Source organism: Homo sapiens, chromosome 12 (assembly GCF_000001405.40).
Source record: "Homo sapiens chromosome 12, GRCh38.p14 Primary Assembly".
Lineage (NCBI taxonomy): Eukaryota > Metazoa > Chordata > Mammalia > Primates > Hominidae > Homo > Homo sapiens.
The window spans coordinates 92,974,569-92,990,709 of record NC_000012.12 but is presented as its reverse complement, the minus strand read 5'-3'; the positions used below and the strand labels follow the sequence as shown (position 1 = coordinate 92,990,709).

General features: G+C 41.2%; 1 annotated feature.

The window, feature by feature from the left end:
* Positions 2,421-2,470: an enhancer, noted in NCBI's record as "active region_6759". NCBI's record gives its function as "activates an Ori minimal core promoter by ATAC-STARR-seq in GM12878 lymphoblastoid cells {active_cell/tissue: GM12878}" and the evidence as "EXISTENCE:reporter gene assay evidence [ECO:0000049][PMID:35858748]".

Below are 16,141 nucleotides of genomic sequence, written 5' to 3'. Positions count from 1 at the left end.
GGACACAGCGAGAAGGTAGCCACCTGCAAAACAGGAAGATAGCCTTCACCAGGAACAGAATCTGCTGGCACCTTGATCTTGGACTTCGCAGCTTCGATAAGTCTTCTCCGCCTAATGGTCCATTCCCATTTCCACTGATGGACCTGCAGCACTCGCCCTCCTCCACTCCCAGGAGGAACCTCCCCCACGGCTGCTGCTACAGGACTGCTTGACTTCTTTAGGCTGCTCCATCAGGATTCACATTCCCCAACCCACACAGAACCTAGCCAGGGCCTTCCTAGCTTCTTTCCTTCCCTTCTTTCCTGAGGGGAAAGTCCACCTTGGGTTTAAATGGCTTAAGACTGGGCAATAAGCCTGATCTCACTCTCAACCTTTGTCTACATCATGCTTATGTTTTGACAAAGTGGAATTTTACCTGAAGGTTAAGAAAGCCCATTGCCCTTTTACGTTCTGGAAAATGACTTACTGCAAGGGGCCACCCTTCCCCGTATGACTTAGACAAGTTTCATGAGTGCCCCTTTGTCTACTGATGACAAAACTAGATAGGGATCTTCCAGTCTTCTGTTTTTGACCTCCTAAATGACTAGCTGAACTGCTTGTCACCACTGATCAATCAGAACAAAATGCCTGTTAGCCAAACTTTGGTTAAGCTTCTCTCCTTCCCCCAGGCCCCTGAGCTTTGGCCCTCCATAACCCAAGCCAGCATACAGCCTCTTCTTAGGGACCCCTCCCCACAAATAGGCTGGCCACCAGGTAGAACATTCTCTGATCTACTGTCCCATGAGGTCACTCTTTCATTCCTCCTTGAATTAGCATAGTGATGTCACCTTCCTGAGCCTTTTCTTTTTGAGACAGAGTCTTGCTCTGTTGCCCAGGCAGAAGTGTAGTAGTGTAATCTCAGCTCACTGCAACCTCGGCCTCCTGGACTCAAGCAATCCTCCCACCTCAGCCTCCCAAGTAGCTGAGACTACAGGTGCCTGCCACCATGCTTGGCTGATTTTTTTTGGTACTTTTTGTAGAGACAGGATTTCATCATGTTGCCCAGGCTAGTCTGGAACTCCTGGGTTCAAGCAATCTGCCCACCATGGCCTCCTAAAGTGCTAGGATTACAGGCATGAGCCACCGTGCCCAGCCCTGAGCCTTATTTTCACTTCAATACCAGACATTGCTAAGTGGCAGTTGCTGGGCCAGGGTCAGCCCCAAATTTTCTTTATTCAGTACATACAGTATTGGAAATATTTATTTTAATCAATTACCACCATTGAAAAAAAATCAGGAGACTTTACGTAAATCTTTTGGCTTCTCTTAAGAAACAGGATCCGGAAACATTGTTTCCACCTCCTTGTAAGGTGACAGCACTCATAACTGGCCTGCTTTGCTCATTTTCGTGACCTGCCTGGGTTTTGGCTTTATGTTAACCCTAACCCCTGGCAGAGAGTGCACAGTTCTCTCTCATATAGTTGTTATGAGGTCCAAATAAAATAGTGTATAAAGTAGCTCCCAGTAAGAACTGAATCATTATTACTTCTCCCTTTTTAGTTGCTGAAATTCAGGTTTGTGAGCTTACGTTGACTTTTAAGCATCTAAATAGATTTTCCATTTTACATAGATGAATAATGATTAAAAATAGCAAAAGTAGGATTAGATGAACACCTGGGATGAAGCAAATCCTTAAAGGAAAATAATATGATCTCAGGATCTTGAAAACATGTTTGCAAGATACATTTTTCCTTGAGATTAAAATCTTAGACTTTTGTTATCTCTTCCAAATGAACCATTTAATCAATGAGACAGTTTATTGGACAAATAGATGTTTTCCTTGCACTGTGCCAAAAAACAGATTTGATTGATTTTACAATTAAATTGAGGGAAGTGGCTGATAGTTTTTGCAAACTCATTCCTTGCCCTTTATTGATTTTTGTTTAAAGTTTAGCCATTGAACATTACAATAAAGTAACTAAGCAAGCCACCTTGAACTGACAAAACAAGGGCACTCACTAAGTGAAAACACCACACATAATGATAAGACCTGTCAGAGCACTTATGGATTCTGCATCTGATCACTGGAATATGACGTCTAGAGTACTAGGATTAAGAATCTCAGCCTTGAAGTTAAAAAAAAAAAAAAAAAAAGGACTCTTAACCTTTTCCTGGCACAGTGGCTCATGCCTGTAATTCCAACACTTTGGGAGGCCAAGGCTGGAGGACTGCTTGAGGCCTGGAGTTTAAGACCAGGCTGGGCAACATAGTGAGACCCCTCCCCTTCCCATCTCTACAAAATAATAAATAAATAAATAAATAAATAAATAAATAAATAAATAAATAAATAAAAGAATCCCAGCCTTGAGGTTAGCTTTGGACTATCAAAGCTGCCTCAACTATTGCTCATTTAGAGAGCTCAAAAGCTTTTTTAAGAACTCGCTTATTTGTTTCATTTCCTCTTCTGAAGATTTTTTTTGCAGATCCAGACTTTGAAGAGGCTCCTCCCTCCTGCCAGGCTCACTTGCCCTTGTCCTTGCTGTGACAAATTACATATTTCAAAACTCTCAAGTAGTGCCCCGCTTCTGTCCCAACGCTACCACCACCATGCATATCCCTTGCTGAACTCTGAAACCAAGACTCAGTTTCAGGAAACACAGCTGTCAGAACACTCCTCCAGTTACAGAGTCTACAGGCATCTCACACTAGGTCTCCAGGTCCCCATGTCCCAGCATGAAGTGGGGGTGGAATGTGGCAGAGGCCTGTCACCTCTCCTCCCTCCAGGGCTGGCAACAACTTCCCCCGACCTGGGTCTTCTGTTTCACAACAGATTCAGTCTTTTCAACTTCTGGATGCCTCTCTTGGTAGCTCACACCTGCAATCCAAGCACTCTGAGGGGCAGAGGATCCTTTGAGCCTCCGAGTTCAAAATCAGGCCAGTCAACATAGTGATACCCCTTCTCTATCAAAAATAAGAACTAAAAAAACTTTTTAAATGGATGCTTCTCTTAGCTTAGCTTCTCTTTGCATTTGAAAAATGATGCCAATTCTTTTCCTCAGGGGACGTCTTTGAATGCCTCTGGCACTTTCACAGATTCCTCCTTTTTTTTTTTTTATGAAGCAAAATGTGGCAATTTAGACGTTTCATTAGTTGTTACTAAGCTGTGTCTCTGCTTGTTTTGTAAACTCTTTCCCAGACCCAGTGGAAAAGCGCATGCACTTCTTTTACTTTTTTGAAGAGAACTAGCACCCTCTGTAGGCCAATCTTGTTTATTAATAGTTTCTAGTGCCAGTGCCTAAGGCAAAAAAATTGCATTTGTCAAACCTATCTATGAAAATCCCTTAAATTATCAGGAAGCATAAAAACCAAGAATTAGTTTCTTTTGTTTCTGTTTTGGTCAGTGTCTCCCTTTTTTGGAGTAGTGGATTTCAACAGGGGAGGGAAGCTTAAATAAAAAGAGAGTCTTTTTCTCTACCTCTCTTTTTGTCTTTTCTGCCACGTGCTTATGTGGAGAAGCTTGTATTCTTCAATTTCCATATAATATATTCATTCACTCAGAAATGTTTATTGAGTCAACTACCTACCAAGCACAATACAGATTCTGATACAGAGAGATCCCTGCTCTCATGGAGCTTACATTCTAATAAGGAAAGAAGATTACCAGCTAGATTTCAAGAAATGCTTCTTCGGAGAATAATAGATACTCTGAGCATAATAAAATGAGAATGGTGTAGAGAGTGATAGGGCAGTGGGGTAAGCTGTATTAAATAGAATAGTCATGGTGGGCCTCCAGAAGGAGGTGATTTTTGGCAGAGATTTGAATGGAGAGGAGCCGGATTCATAAATTCTGTGCTGGGGTGTGACCACAGCAGTCTGGCTTGCCAAATCTACTCCTAATCTCTACATTTACTGCCTCCCACATGTTGTATTTTGGCTACACCTCATTAGTCCCCAAAAAGTAGATTACGAGGTGGGAGGATCACTTAAGGCCAGGAATTTGAGACTAGCCTGGGCAATATAGTGAGACTCCATCTCTAATTTATGAAAGAGAGAGAGAGAGAGAAAGCAAAAAAAAAAAAAAAAAAAAAAAAGGCTGGACATGGTGGCTTCACCTGTGATCCCAACATTTTAGCAGGGGCAAGGCAGGAGGATTGCTTAAGACCAGGAGTTAAAGAACAGCCTAGGCAACATAGTCATACTCTGTCTCTATTATTTATTTATTTATTTTTTGAGATAGAGTCTCGCTCTGTCACCCAGGCTAGAGTGCAATGGTGTGATCTCGGCTCACTGCAACCTCTGCTTCCCGAGTTCAAGCGGTTCTCCTGCCTCAGCCTCCTGAGTAGCTGGGACTACAGGCATGTGCCACCATGCCCAGCTAATTTTTGTATTTTCAGTAGAGACAGGGTTTTGTCATGTCGTCCAGGCTGGTCTTGAACTTCTGACCTCGTCATCTGCCTGCCTCAGCCTCCCAAAGTGCTGGGATTACAGGCATGAGCCACCGCACCTAGCCTCTGTCTCTATTTTATTTAAAAAAAAAAAAAAGAGAGAGAGAGAGATACTAGGTACAATGACTCATGCCTATAATCCTAGCACTTTGGGAAACCAAGGCAAGAGGATCACTTGAGCTCAGAAGTTCAAGCTCAGCCTGGACAACCTAGTGAGACCCCATCTCTATTTTTTTTCAAACTAAAATAAAGAAAATTTTAAAAAAGAAGAAAGAAATTTGTTGTAAGCAAATATTGACAATATTTATTAGAACGTGCTCTGTCTCCCATATACACCAATAAGCCCATAGAGAAATCCAGTCCTGAAACATAAATGGAATATTGCTTTCTGAGAGATACATCAGATGTTTTTTTGTTGTTGTTGTTATTTTTGGTTTTTGGTTTTTGTTTTTTTTTTTTTTTTGAGATGGAGTCTTGCTCTGTCGCCCAGGTTGGAGTGCAATGGTGCCATCTTGGATCACTGCAACCTTTGCCTCTCGAGTTCAAGCAATTCTCCTGCCTCAGCCTCCCGAGTAGCTGGGATTACAGGCATCCACAACCATGCCTGGCTACTTTTTGTATTTCTAGTAGAGACAGGGTTTCACCATGTTGGCCAGGCTGGTCTTGAACTCCTGACCTCAAGAGATCTGCCTGCGTTGGCCTAACAAAGTGCTAGGATTACAGGCATGAGCCACCGTGCCCGGCTGTTTTGTGTTTTTAAACTTTTAAGTTCAGAGCTACATGCGCAGATTTATTATATAGGTAAATACATGTCACGGGGTTTTGTTGTATATATGATTTCGTCACTCGGGTGATAAGCATAGTACCTGATGGTTAGTTTTTCTATCTTCACCCTCCTCCCACCCTGCACCCTCAAGTAGACTCCAGTGCCTATTGTTTTCTTCTTTGTGTCCATGTGTACTCAGTGTTTAGCTCCCACTTGTAAGTGAGAACATGTGGTATTTGGTTTTCTGTTCCTACATTAGCTCATTTAGGATAACGACCTACAGCTTCTACAAAGAACATGCTCTCATTATTTTTTATGGCTGCAAAGTATTTCATGCTGTATATGTACCACCTCTTTATCTAGTCTACCATTGATGGGCATTTAGGTTGATTCCATGTCTTTGCTATTGTGAATAGTGCTGCAATGAACATATGCATGTGTGTGTCTTTATGATAGAATGATTTATTTTCTTTGGGTATATACCCAATAATGCAATTGTTAAGTTGAAGGGTAGTTCTGTTTTAAATTATTTGAGAAATCACCAAACAGGTTTCCACAGTGGCTGAACTAATTTATAGTCCTAACAGCACTGTGTAAGCATTCCCTTTTCTCCACAGCCTCACCAGCATGTTATTATTATTATTATTATTATTTTTGAGACGGAGTCTTGCTGTGTCGCCCAGGCTGGAGTGCAGTGGCATGATCTCCGCTCACTGCAACGTCTGCCTCCCAGATTCAAGCAATTCTCCTACTTCAGCCTCCTGAGTAGCTGGGACTACAGGTGTGCTCTACCACGTCCAGCTAATTTTTGTATTTTTAGTAGAGACAGGGTTTCACCATGTTGGCCAGGCTTGTCTCAAACTCTTAACCTCAGGTGATCCACCTGCCTTGGCCTCCCAAAGTGCTAGGATTACAGGCATGAGCCTCTGCACCCAGCTGTTTTTTGTTTTGTTTTTGTTTTTTTGTTTTTTTTTGTTTTTTTGTTTTTTTGTTTTTTTTTTTTGAGACAGGGGCTCACTCTCACCCAGGCTGGAGTGCAGTGGTGCAATCTCAGCTCACTGCAGCCTTCACCTCTGAGGCTCAAGTGATACTCCCACCTTGGCCTCCCACCTTACGTGCCTGTAGCTGGGGCTACAGGCAGGCATGACCATGCCTGGCTAATTTTTAAATATTTTTTGTAGAGACGGGGTTTTGCCCTGTTGCCCAGGCTGGTCTTGAACTCCTGAGCTCAAGCGATCTGCCCTCCTCAACCTCCCAAAGTGCTAAGATTACAGACTTGAGCCACCACACCCAGCCTATTTTTTGACTATTTTAATACCCGTTCTGACTGGTGTGAGACAGTATCTCATTTTTATTTTGATTTGCATTTATGTAATGATTCGTGATGTTGAGCATCTTTTCATATGTTTGTTGGATATCTTCTTTTGAAAAGTGTCTGTTCATGTCCTTTGCCCACTTTTTAATGGGATTGTTGATTTTTTTGCTTAATATGTGTATAGTGTTTCCTATAGATTCGCATATTAGACCTTTGTCACAGGCATCGTTTGCAAATATTTTCTCCCATTCTGTAGGTTTTCTGTTTACTCCATTGTTTGTTTGTTTTGCTGTGCAGAAGCTCTCTAACTTATTAGGTCCTGTTTGTCAGTTTTTCGTTTTGTTGCAAATGTTTTTGATGTCTTCATCATGAAAACTTTACCAGGACCTATGTCTAGAATGGTATTTCCTAGGTTTTCTTCTAGGGCTTTTATAGCTTTAGGTTTTACATTTAAGTCTTTAATACATCTTGAGTTGATTTTTGTATATGGTGAAAAAAAGGGGTCCAGTTTCAATCTTCTGCATATGGCTAGCCAGTTATCCTAGCACCACTTATTGAATAAGGAGACTTTTCTTCATTGCTTGTTTTTGTAGACTTTGTTGCAGATCAGATGGTTGAAGGGATATGGCTATATTTCTAGGTTCTCTAATTTGTTCCATTGGTCTATGTGTCTGGTTTTGTACCATTACCATGCTATTTTGATTATTGTAGCCTTGTAGTATAGTTTGAAGTCGAGTAATGTGATTCCTCCAGCTTTGTTTTTTTTTTGTTTTTTTTTTTGCTTACGATTGCTTTGGCTATTCAGCTTCTTCTTTGGTTGCATATGGCTTTTAGAATGTTTTTTTTCTAATTCTGTGAAAAATAACAATGAATATATAAACATTTATATATTGAATAGCATTTAATCTATAAATTGCTTTGGGCAATATGGCCATTTTAAGAACATTGAATCTTCTTATCCATGAGCATGGAATGTTTTTCCATTTGTTTATGTCATCTCCGATTTCTTTCACAGTGTTTTGTAATTCTTGTTGTAGAGATTCTTCACCTTCCTAGTTAGCTATGGTATTCCTGGGTATTGGTTATACGTGTGTCTCTGTGTGTGTGTGTGTGTCTGTGTGTCTGTGTCTATTGTGAATGGGATTATGTTTTTGATTTGGATCTCAGCTTGGATGTTATTGTTGCATAGAAATACTAATGATTTTTGTACATTGATTCTGTATCCTGAAACTTTATTGAAGTTGTTTATCAGTTCTGGTAGCCTTTGGGCAGAGGCTATGGGGTTTTCTAGATAAAGAATCACATTGCCTATGAAGAGAGATAGTTTGACTTCCTCCCTACCTATTTGGATGCCTTTTATTTCATAATAGTTCTGACTATTGTGAACACCTCTATGAACAAAAACTGAGGGGTTTTTCTATTTCTTTGGATTAGGTGGTAGTGTCCCCTTTGACATTTCTGCTCGTATTTATATGAATCTCTCTTTTTTCTTTATTAGTCTAGGTATTATTCAGGGTTCTCTAGAGAGACAGCACTAATAGGATAGATGTATGTATTAAAGGGCATTTAATTAAGGAGTATTGACTTACATCATCACAAGGTGAAGTCCCACAATAGGCTGTCTGCAAGCTGAGGAGCAATTGAAGCCAGTCTGAGTCCCAAAACCTCAAAAGTAGGGAAGCTGACAGTGCTGCCCTCACTCTGTGGCTGAAGGCCCGAGAGTCTCTGGCAAACCACTGGTGTAGGTCCAAGAGTCCAAAAGCTGAAGAACTTGGAGTCTGATGTTTGAGGACAGGAAGCATCCAGCACAGGAAAAAGATGGAGGCCAGAAGATTTAGCCAGTCTAGTCTTTCCATGTTCTTCCGCCTGCTTTTATTCTGGTTGAGCTGGAAGCTGATTAGATAGTACCCACCCGGATTGAGGGTAGGTCTGCCTTTCCCAGTCCACTGACTCAAATGTTAAACTCCTTTGGCAACACTCTCACAGACACACCCAGGAACAATACTTTGCATCTTTTAATCCAAGCAAGTTGACACTCAATATTAACCATCACAGTCTAGCTAGTGGTCTATCAATATTATTTATTCTTTCAAAGAGTTAACTTCTGGTTTTGTTGATCTTCTTTATGGTTTTTCATGTCTCAATTTCACTCAGTTCAGCTCTATTTTGGTTATTTATTTTCTACTGCTAGCTTTAAGGTTGGTTTGCTCTTTTTTTTTTTTCTCCTGGGTGTGATATTAGGTTGTTAATTTGACATCTTTCTAACTTTTTGATGTGGGTGTTTAGTGCCATAAACTTTCCTCTTGTCACTGCTTTAGCTGTGTCCCAGAGATATGTTATATCTAAAGATATGCTATATCTTTGTTTTCATTAGTTTCAAATAATTTCCTGATTTCTGCCTTAAATTCATTGTTAACGCAAAAAGTCATCCAGGAGCAGATTGTTTAATTTCCATATAATTATATGGTTTTGAACAATCTCCTTAGTATTGATTTCTATTTTTATCATCCTGTGGTCCAAGAGTGTAGTTGGTATGATTCTCGTTTCTTTGAATTTGCTGAGAATTGTTTATGACCAATTGTGTGGTCAATTTTAAGGTAGTGCCATATGCAGATGAGAAGAATGTATATTCTGTTGTTTTGGGTGAAGAGTTCTGTAGATGTCTGTTAGGTCCATTTGGTCAAGTGTTGAGCTTAGCTCACAAATATCTTTGTTATTATTCTGCCTCGATTGATCTGTCTAACACTATCATTGGGATTTTGAAGCCTCCCACTATTATTATGGGGTTAAGTCTCTTTGTAGATCTTTAAGAACTTGTTTTGTGAATCTGTGTACTCCACTGTTGGGTGCATATATATTTAGGATGGTTAAGTCTTCTTCTTGGATTGAACCCATTACCATTATCCATTACCATTATGTAGTGCCCTTGGTGTTCCTTGATCATTGTTGGTTTAAAGTTTGTTTTGCCTGAAATTAGAATAGCAATCCCTGCTTTTTTTCTGTTTTCTGTTTGCCTGGTAGATTTTTTTTCATCTCTTTACTTTGATCCTATCCATGTCATTGCATGTGAGGTAGATCTCTTGAAGGCAGCATACAGTTGGGTCTTGCTTCTTTGTCCAACTTGCCATTCTGTGCCTTTTTTTTTTTTTTTTTTTTTTTTGAGACAGAGTTTCTCCCTGTCACCCAGGCTGGAGTGCAGTGGTGTACTCTTGGCTCACTGCAACCTCCACCTCCTGGGCTCAATTGATTCTCCTGCCTCAGCCTCCCAAGTAGCTGGAATTACAGATGTGCACCACCATGCCTGGCTAATTTTTGTATTTTCAGTAGAGATGGGGTTTCACCATGTTGGCCAGGCTGGTCTCAAACTCCTGACCTCAAATGATCCAACTGCCTTGGCCTCCCAAAGTGCCAGGATGGGATTACAGATTACAGGCGTGAGCCACTGTGCCCAGCCTCTGTGCCTTTTAAGTGGGACATTTAGCCCATTTACATTCAAGGTTAATGATATGTGCAGACTTTTTTCCTGTCATCATGATGTTAGCTGGTTATTATGCAGACTTGATTGTGTAGTTGCTTTATAGTGTCAATGGTCTATGTATTTGTGCTTTTGTGGTGGCTGGTAATGATCTCTTTTTCCCATATTTATCACTCCTTTGAGGACCTCTTGAAAAGCAGGTCTGGTGGTAAAGAATTCTTTAGCATTTGCTTATCTGAAATGGATTTCTCCTTCACTTATGAAACTTATATAAAATTCTTGGTTGGAATTTCTTTCCTTTAAGATTGTTGAATATAGGCCCTAATCTCTTCTGGCTTGTAGGGTTCCTGCCGAAAGGTTTGCTGTTAGCCTGATGAAGGTTCCCTTTGTGAGTGACCTTCCTCTTCTCTTTAGTTGCCTTTAATATTTTTTCTTTCATGTTGACCTTGGAGAATCTAATGCCTATGTGTCTTGGAGATAGTTATCTTGTATAGTATCTTACAGGGGCTCTCTGCATTTCCTGAATTTGAATGTTGGCCTCTCTAGTGAGGTTAGGGAAATTTTCATGAACAATATTCTCAAATATATTTTCCAAGTTGCTTGCCTTCTCTGTCTCTCTTTCAGGGATGCTAATGAGTCACAGATTTGATCTTTCTACATAATCTCAAATTTCTCAAAGGTTTTGTTCATTTTTTAATTTTTTAATTTTTTTTAAATCTGTGTCTTATTCAGTTGATTTCAGAACTGGTTTTTGAGCTCTGAGATTTGTTTCTCAGCTTGGTCTATTCTGCTGTTAATACTTGCAATTATATTATGAAATTCTTGTAGTGTTTTTCAGCTCTATCAACTCAGTTTGGTTCTTTGTTAAAATGGCTGTTTCACTTTTCATCTCTTGTATAGTTTTATTGGAATTTTTTTTTTTTTTGAGATGGAGTCTCGCTTTGTCACACAGGCTGGAGTGCAGTGGTGTGGTCTCAGCTCACTGCAAGCACTGCCTCCCAAGTTCACACCATTCTCCTGCCTTAGCCTCCCGAGTAGCTGGGACTACAGGCACCTGCCACCACACCCGGCTAATTTTTTTTTATTTTTAGTAGAGACAGGGTTTCACTATGTTAGCCAGGATGGTCTCGAGCTCCTGACCTCATGATCTGCCCGCCTCGGCCTCCCAAAGTGCTGGGATTACAGGTGGGAGCCACAGTGCCTGGTGACTTATTGGATTTTTAATATTCATTGGATTGGATTTCTACTTCCTCCTGAATCTCAATGATCTTCTTTCCTATTCAGATTCTTAATTCTATGTCTGTCATTTCTGCCATTTCAGCCAGTTAAGAACCGTTGCTGGGGAACTAGTGCAGTCGTTTGGAGGTAAGAAGGTGCTTTTTTAGTTGCCAGACTTCTTGCATTGGTTCTTTCTCATCTGTGTGGGCTGATGTTTCCTTAACCTTTGAAGCTGCAGTCCTTTGGATGGAGTTTTTTGCTTTTATATTCTTTGACATCCTTGAGGGTTTGATTGTGATATAAGGTGGGTTCAGCTGACTGGCTTTGTTTCTGGAAGATTTTAGGGGCCCAAGGCTCAGCTCAGCACTCCTGAGCTGTGTGTTCTAACCCTGTGGGGCTGGTACTAGGGCTCCAGCTTTGTTCTTTGGCCCCTTGAGATTAAGAACTTGCTGCGCTGGTAGGGGGTCGAAGTATTCCTGGCTAGGTGGCAACAAAACTCTGATGGAGAGTGCTGGCCAAAGTGCTTTGTTGTGGTGGTAATGACAGGATTTGTGCTCATGTGTATTTCAGCAGCAGCAGTGGCACAGGTGGGGCACTAGTGGGGGTGGGGTGGGGGCAGGGTGGTGGCATCCAGGCACATGCTCACACTGGCAGTGGGGTGGTGGAATGCACGCACACATATCCGTGGGAAAAGAGAAGTAGGTTCCACCCATGCAGACACACATGCAAAGCAGTGTGTGTATGTGTTGGCATGAGGGCAGGCATGGGCAAGTGTACACAGGTAAAGTGGCAGGGGGAGGCTGTGGTTCAGGGAGGCTTCAGGTGGGTGCATTTAGCATAGGTCAGTCTGCTGGAATTCTCCAATGGTTAAGAGTGCTCTGCCAGTGAAAGAGCTAAAATGAAGGCCCTCAGGAAGCACCCTGATTGGGCATCCAAGGCTATGCTGCAAGCAAGCACAGCAAGGCTGGGGCCCCAGAAGAAGCTGGTTGACAGTGGAGCACTCAGATTAGATTGGCCCCATCCCACAGGGAAGACTGCCCTGCTCGTCTAGGTCTGGCAGTCACCAAGAGGCAAAGCCACCCAGAGGAGCATGGCAAGCCCTGAAGGATGGGCCTCCCTGGCCATGCTCCACTGTAGCCATTCTCATGCCAAACCCTCTGGACTCCACACAAGCTAGAGTTCTGCCCCTGCCACCTCTCTGAACAGCTCTCCTTGCCAGCTCAAATGGGGGTCATGGGGTCTGCTGCACTAGAAGTCTGTAGGTCCGTGGTGAGAGTAAGCTGCTCCCCACCTGTTTAACTCACCCCTTCCCAAGGAACCACTGGGGGCCAGGAACAAGTCCTGGTGCTTGGCAGCCCTGTGCATGGTTCTCAGCTTCCTCTGCCTTCAGCCCGGGGTCTACGTCCTCCCTGCATTCACTCTCAATGCCTTATCTCCAAAGATCTGCTCAGAGTGTACCCAGTTTCCCTGATGGTCTGGTCTTTCGGCGGGAGATGCTCTTCCTGGCTGCGTCTAGTTGGCCATCTTCAGAAATAACTTTAATAAAATAAAAAAAAATTGAACTGTTGCCACTGCCCAGACTTAATCACCTTGGAAGTGGCAGTATCAGAAAATCTGGTCAACAGATCACCACAGTGGTGGTGATGGGGTAGACAGTTGGTAGCTTGGGTAAGGATATTTGCAGTTTTGAATGGGTGATCTTTTTAGCTTCTCAGAACTCACAATTTATCTGCCTGTGCAGAGTGGCTACTGCTGCTCAGAGCAGCAGGTGGAAGCAAAGAAATGAGTTCCATTTTATGAATGTTTGATGCTTTCTTCTCCATGTAGAGCTTACACTCAGGACATCAAGCAGCTGTAGAGAATTCTGGTTAGATTTTTAATCAAAGGAAGTATTGTGATTGAGTCTTTACGTAGGAGGCTGAGAATGTCATTTCCTCCTGGCTGAGTCTTGCACAAAGTGATATTTTGAGGGCAACTTGACACCCCTGGACAGCAACTGGGCTGGGCAGTGTCGCATACACACTCCTCTCTGCCTCTCCACACCAGATTCCCTCATGATGTTGCTAGTCTCGAGACAGTGGAACAAAGCAGTGTCTCAAAGAGAAGCCAAACGGAAATAAGGCAGTCACGGGGGCACCTGGGATGTGGTGAGAATAGTGAGAAAGAAAACATTTGGTGATCAAATTGGTCTCTTCCAGGGCTTGCTTCCATGTTTAGAGCTGCCCAGTGTCGTTATAAGGCAAAATGATTGACTGATGACCAAAGAGAAATTGATTCTGAAAAGATAGAGTGATAGCACAGTGCTTGACACAGACTAGTTGATTAATACATGGTTAATGAAGAGATATGAAAAGCAATTAGAGTTGGAAATAGTATATAAATTCTGTCATGTCTGGGTTTCAATTTCTTAAGGGTATTTTGAAATTATTTTTGAATGATTAAGTAAGAGGACTACAGTGGATTGAAAGTATGTGTTACCGGGGGTTAAAAGCTGCCTCTGAGTCCCAAAGAGGTTCTTCAAAGCCTTATCTATGTCTGGAGGGTGTTTTGATTTTTTTTCTTAGTTCACAACACATATTTTGAGGGTTTTTTTTTTATCTGAGTTTTCTTGAGTTCCTGTCTTCCTTAGTGACAACTAGATTCCAAATTACTGATGCTTTGTATGATTTGTAAATGATTGCTATTAATGAATAATAAATTCCATATTATGGAATAAACTGTGCCATTGTATTTAATTGCTTAAATTTATGTCTCTCTCTCTCTCTCTGTTTCTCTTTTTCTCTCCCTACATATTTATCTATCTACCTGCAAGTCCTTGACTTTACTGATTTGGCTTGTTTTCCTGATTTGAGTGTTCTGGCTCTCTAGAGGTCTTTCATAAGCATATTTGTTCTATACATGTATTTTCCTAGGAGCTGAGCTGAACTTAAAATTCTGGTTGTACAGACTACAAATCTTGATTAGTATATATAAGTAGACCATCTTAAATATACTTGTTGAATGTATAAGAAATATGGACAGGATTGTCACCATGCCAAATTAACATATTTTTCCATAAAAGAACTAAACCTACATTAATCAAAACTAGTTATCTCTTATAGACTAGAAAAGAGCTTCAACAGTGGTTTAAAAGAAAACAGAAGAAAGGATCACCATCAAGTCATCTGAGAATGACTTTACAGGTATTGTTTTGTTTATTTTTCACCGAAAACAGGGCTTTCAGATCAAATATACAATGCCCAGTTAAATTTGAATTTCGGATAAGCGACAACAACAACAAGAAAATGATTAGTGTAAATGTGTCCCAAATATTTTGTCATTGTTTATCTGAAATTCACATTTCATTTTATTTATTTATTTATTGAGACAAGGTCTTGCTTTGTGGCCCAGGCTGGAGCACAGTGGCATGATCAAGGCTCACTGCAGCTTTGAAATCCTGGGCTCAAGTAATCCTCCCATGTCAACTTCCTAAGTAGTTGGTACTACAGGTGTTCACTGCCATGCCCAGCTAATTTTTAAAAAAACTTTTTGTATAGATGGAGTCTCATTATGTTGCTCAGGCTCATCTTGAACTCCTGGGCTCAACCGATCCTCCAACCTCAGCCTTGCAAAGTGCCAGGATTACAGATGTGAACCACCTCACCCAGCCTTGAAATTAAAATCTAACTGGGGGTCCCGTATTTATATTTGCTAATCTGGCAACCCTACCTTAAAACTACTTAGTTTACAATCTTCAAGCATCCTTTAATTTTAATGCTTGTGAAACAGCTAATCTCTTGGCTAGAATGGCTTGATGTCCTCTGAGGCAATCTGATCATCAGGTGGAATCAGTAAGTACTTTACTTAACATCAAAGAGAAATACAATGGACTTAGAGAAAAAAAAGGGCAGAAAAATTAGCATAATTTATACAGCTTGGAAACTAGATAATGGATGAGATGCACTACAATACTACTAATCTATAAAATGGTTGATTATTCTTAGATCAAAAGGTTTTTATAAGGTCATGTCAGTGAAGTGGTGGAGTAAGGACCTTCCCAATATTCTCTCTTCCATAAAAACAATGAGAATGATTCAAACATTTATGCAATCAACTTTTTCAGAATTCTGGAAAATCAAAAGCTTTCAGCAATCTGGAGAATATTTATTCAAGAAAAGTGACTGAAACTCAGAAAGGGAGAGTTTGTGTCATTTTAACTTTTTCTATTTCCATTCCCACTTTTTGCAGCTCGAAGAAAGCCTTAAAAAGCAACAAGGCAGCCACAAGCCACAAAACCAACAAGCTGCAACAAATTTGTAATGATCACAGTGGAAACCAGCAGCCTGTCAGCCACTGGAAAGGTAGAATGTTACTGGGGCTCCTTCAAAACCCCATCCCCAGGGAATGGTCATTATTTAACCTGTCTCATAGGTCCCTGGAAGACCCCAATTGCAAGGTTGTCATTGTTTGACTTGAGTTGGAGCTCATGCAGTGAAAAGAGCCTTTTCTCTATGGGGGTTTATTAAAAACAATTAGAGGCAATTGTTTAACATCATGGCTGCCGGATGCAATCACCTTTGTAAAGATTATGACAGCAAAAGAAGTCTAGCATAGCTGACTCCATCTTGTTTCAAGCCTCACAGGCTGGCTGTCCTCACTTATTCCTAGGTGTGGGTCAAGCTAACCATGGGAGACATTTAGTTTATAGTTTAACTTTGCATCAAGGATGATAATAGTACCTCCCTAAAACTGACCTCCTCCTTAAAACTGAAACCACCTTTTTAAGACTAATGAAAGGCCACAAGATTAGGATTATGGTGAGGGGCAGAGCTGATTTCTGCTAAAATGTAGGTACAGTTAAATGATAACCAGCCATTTGTTCCCTAGCTTGCTTTTCTATAATGCATTACTGCTCAAGAGTCATGTGGCCAGATGTCACAAGATTTGTAGCTTCTACTTGGCCA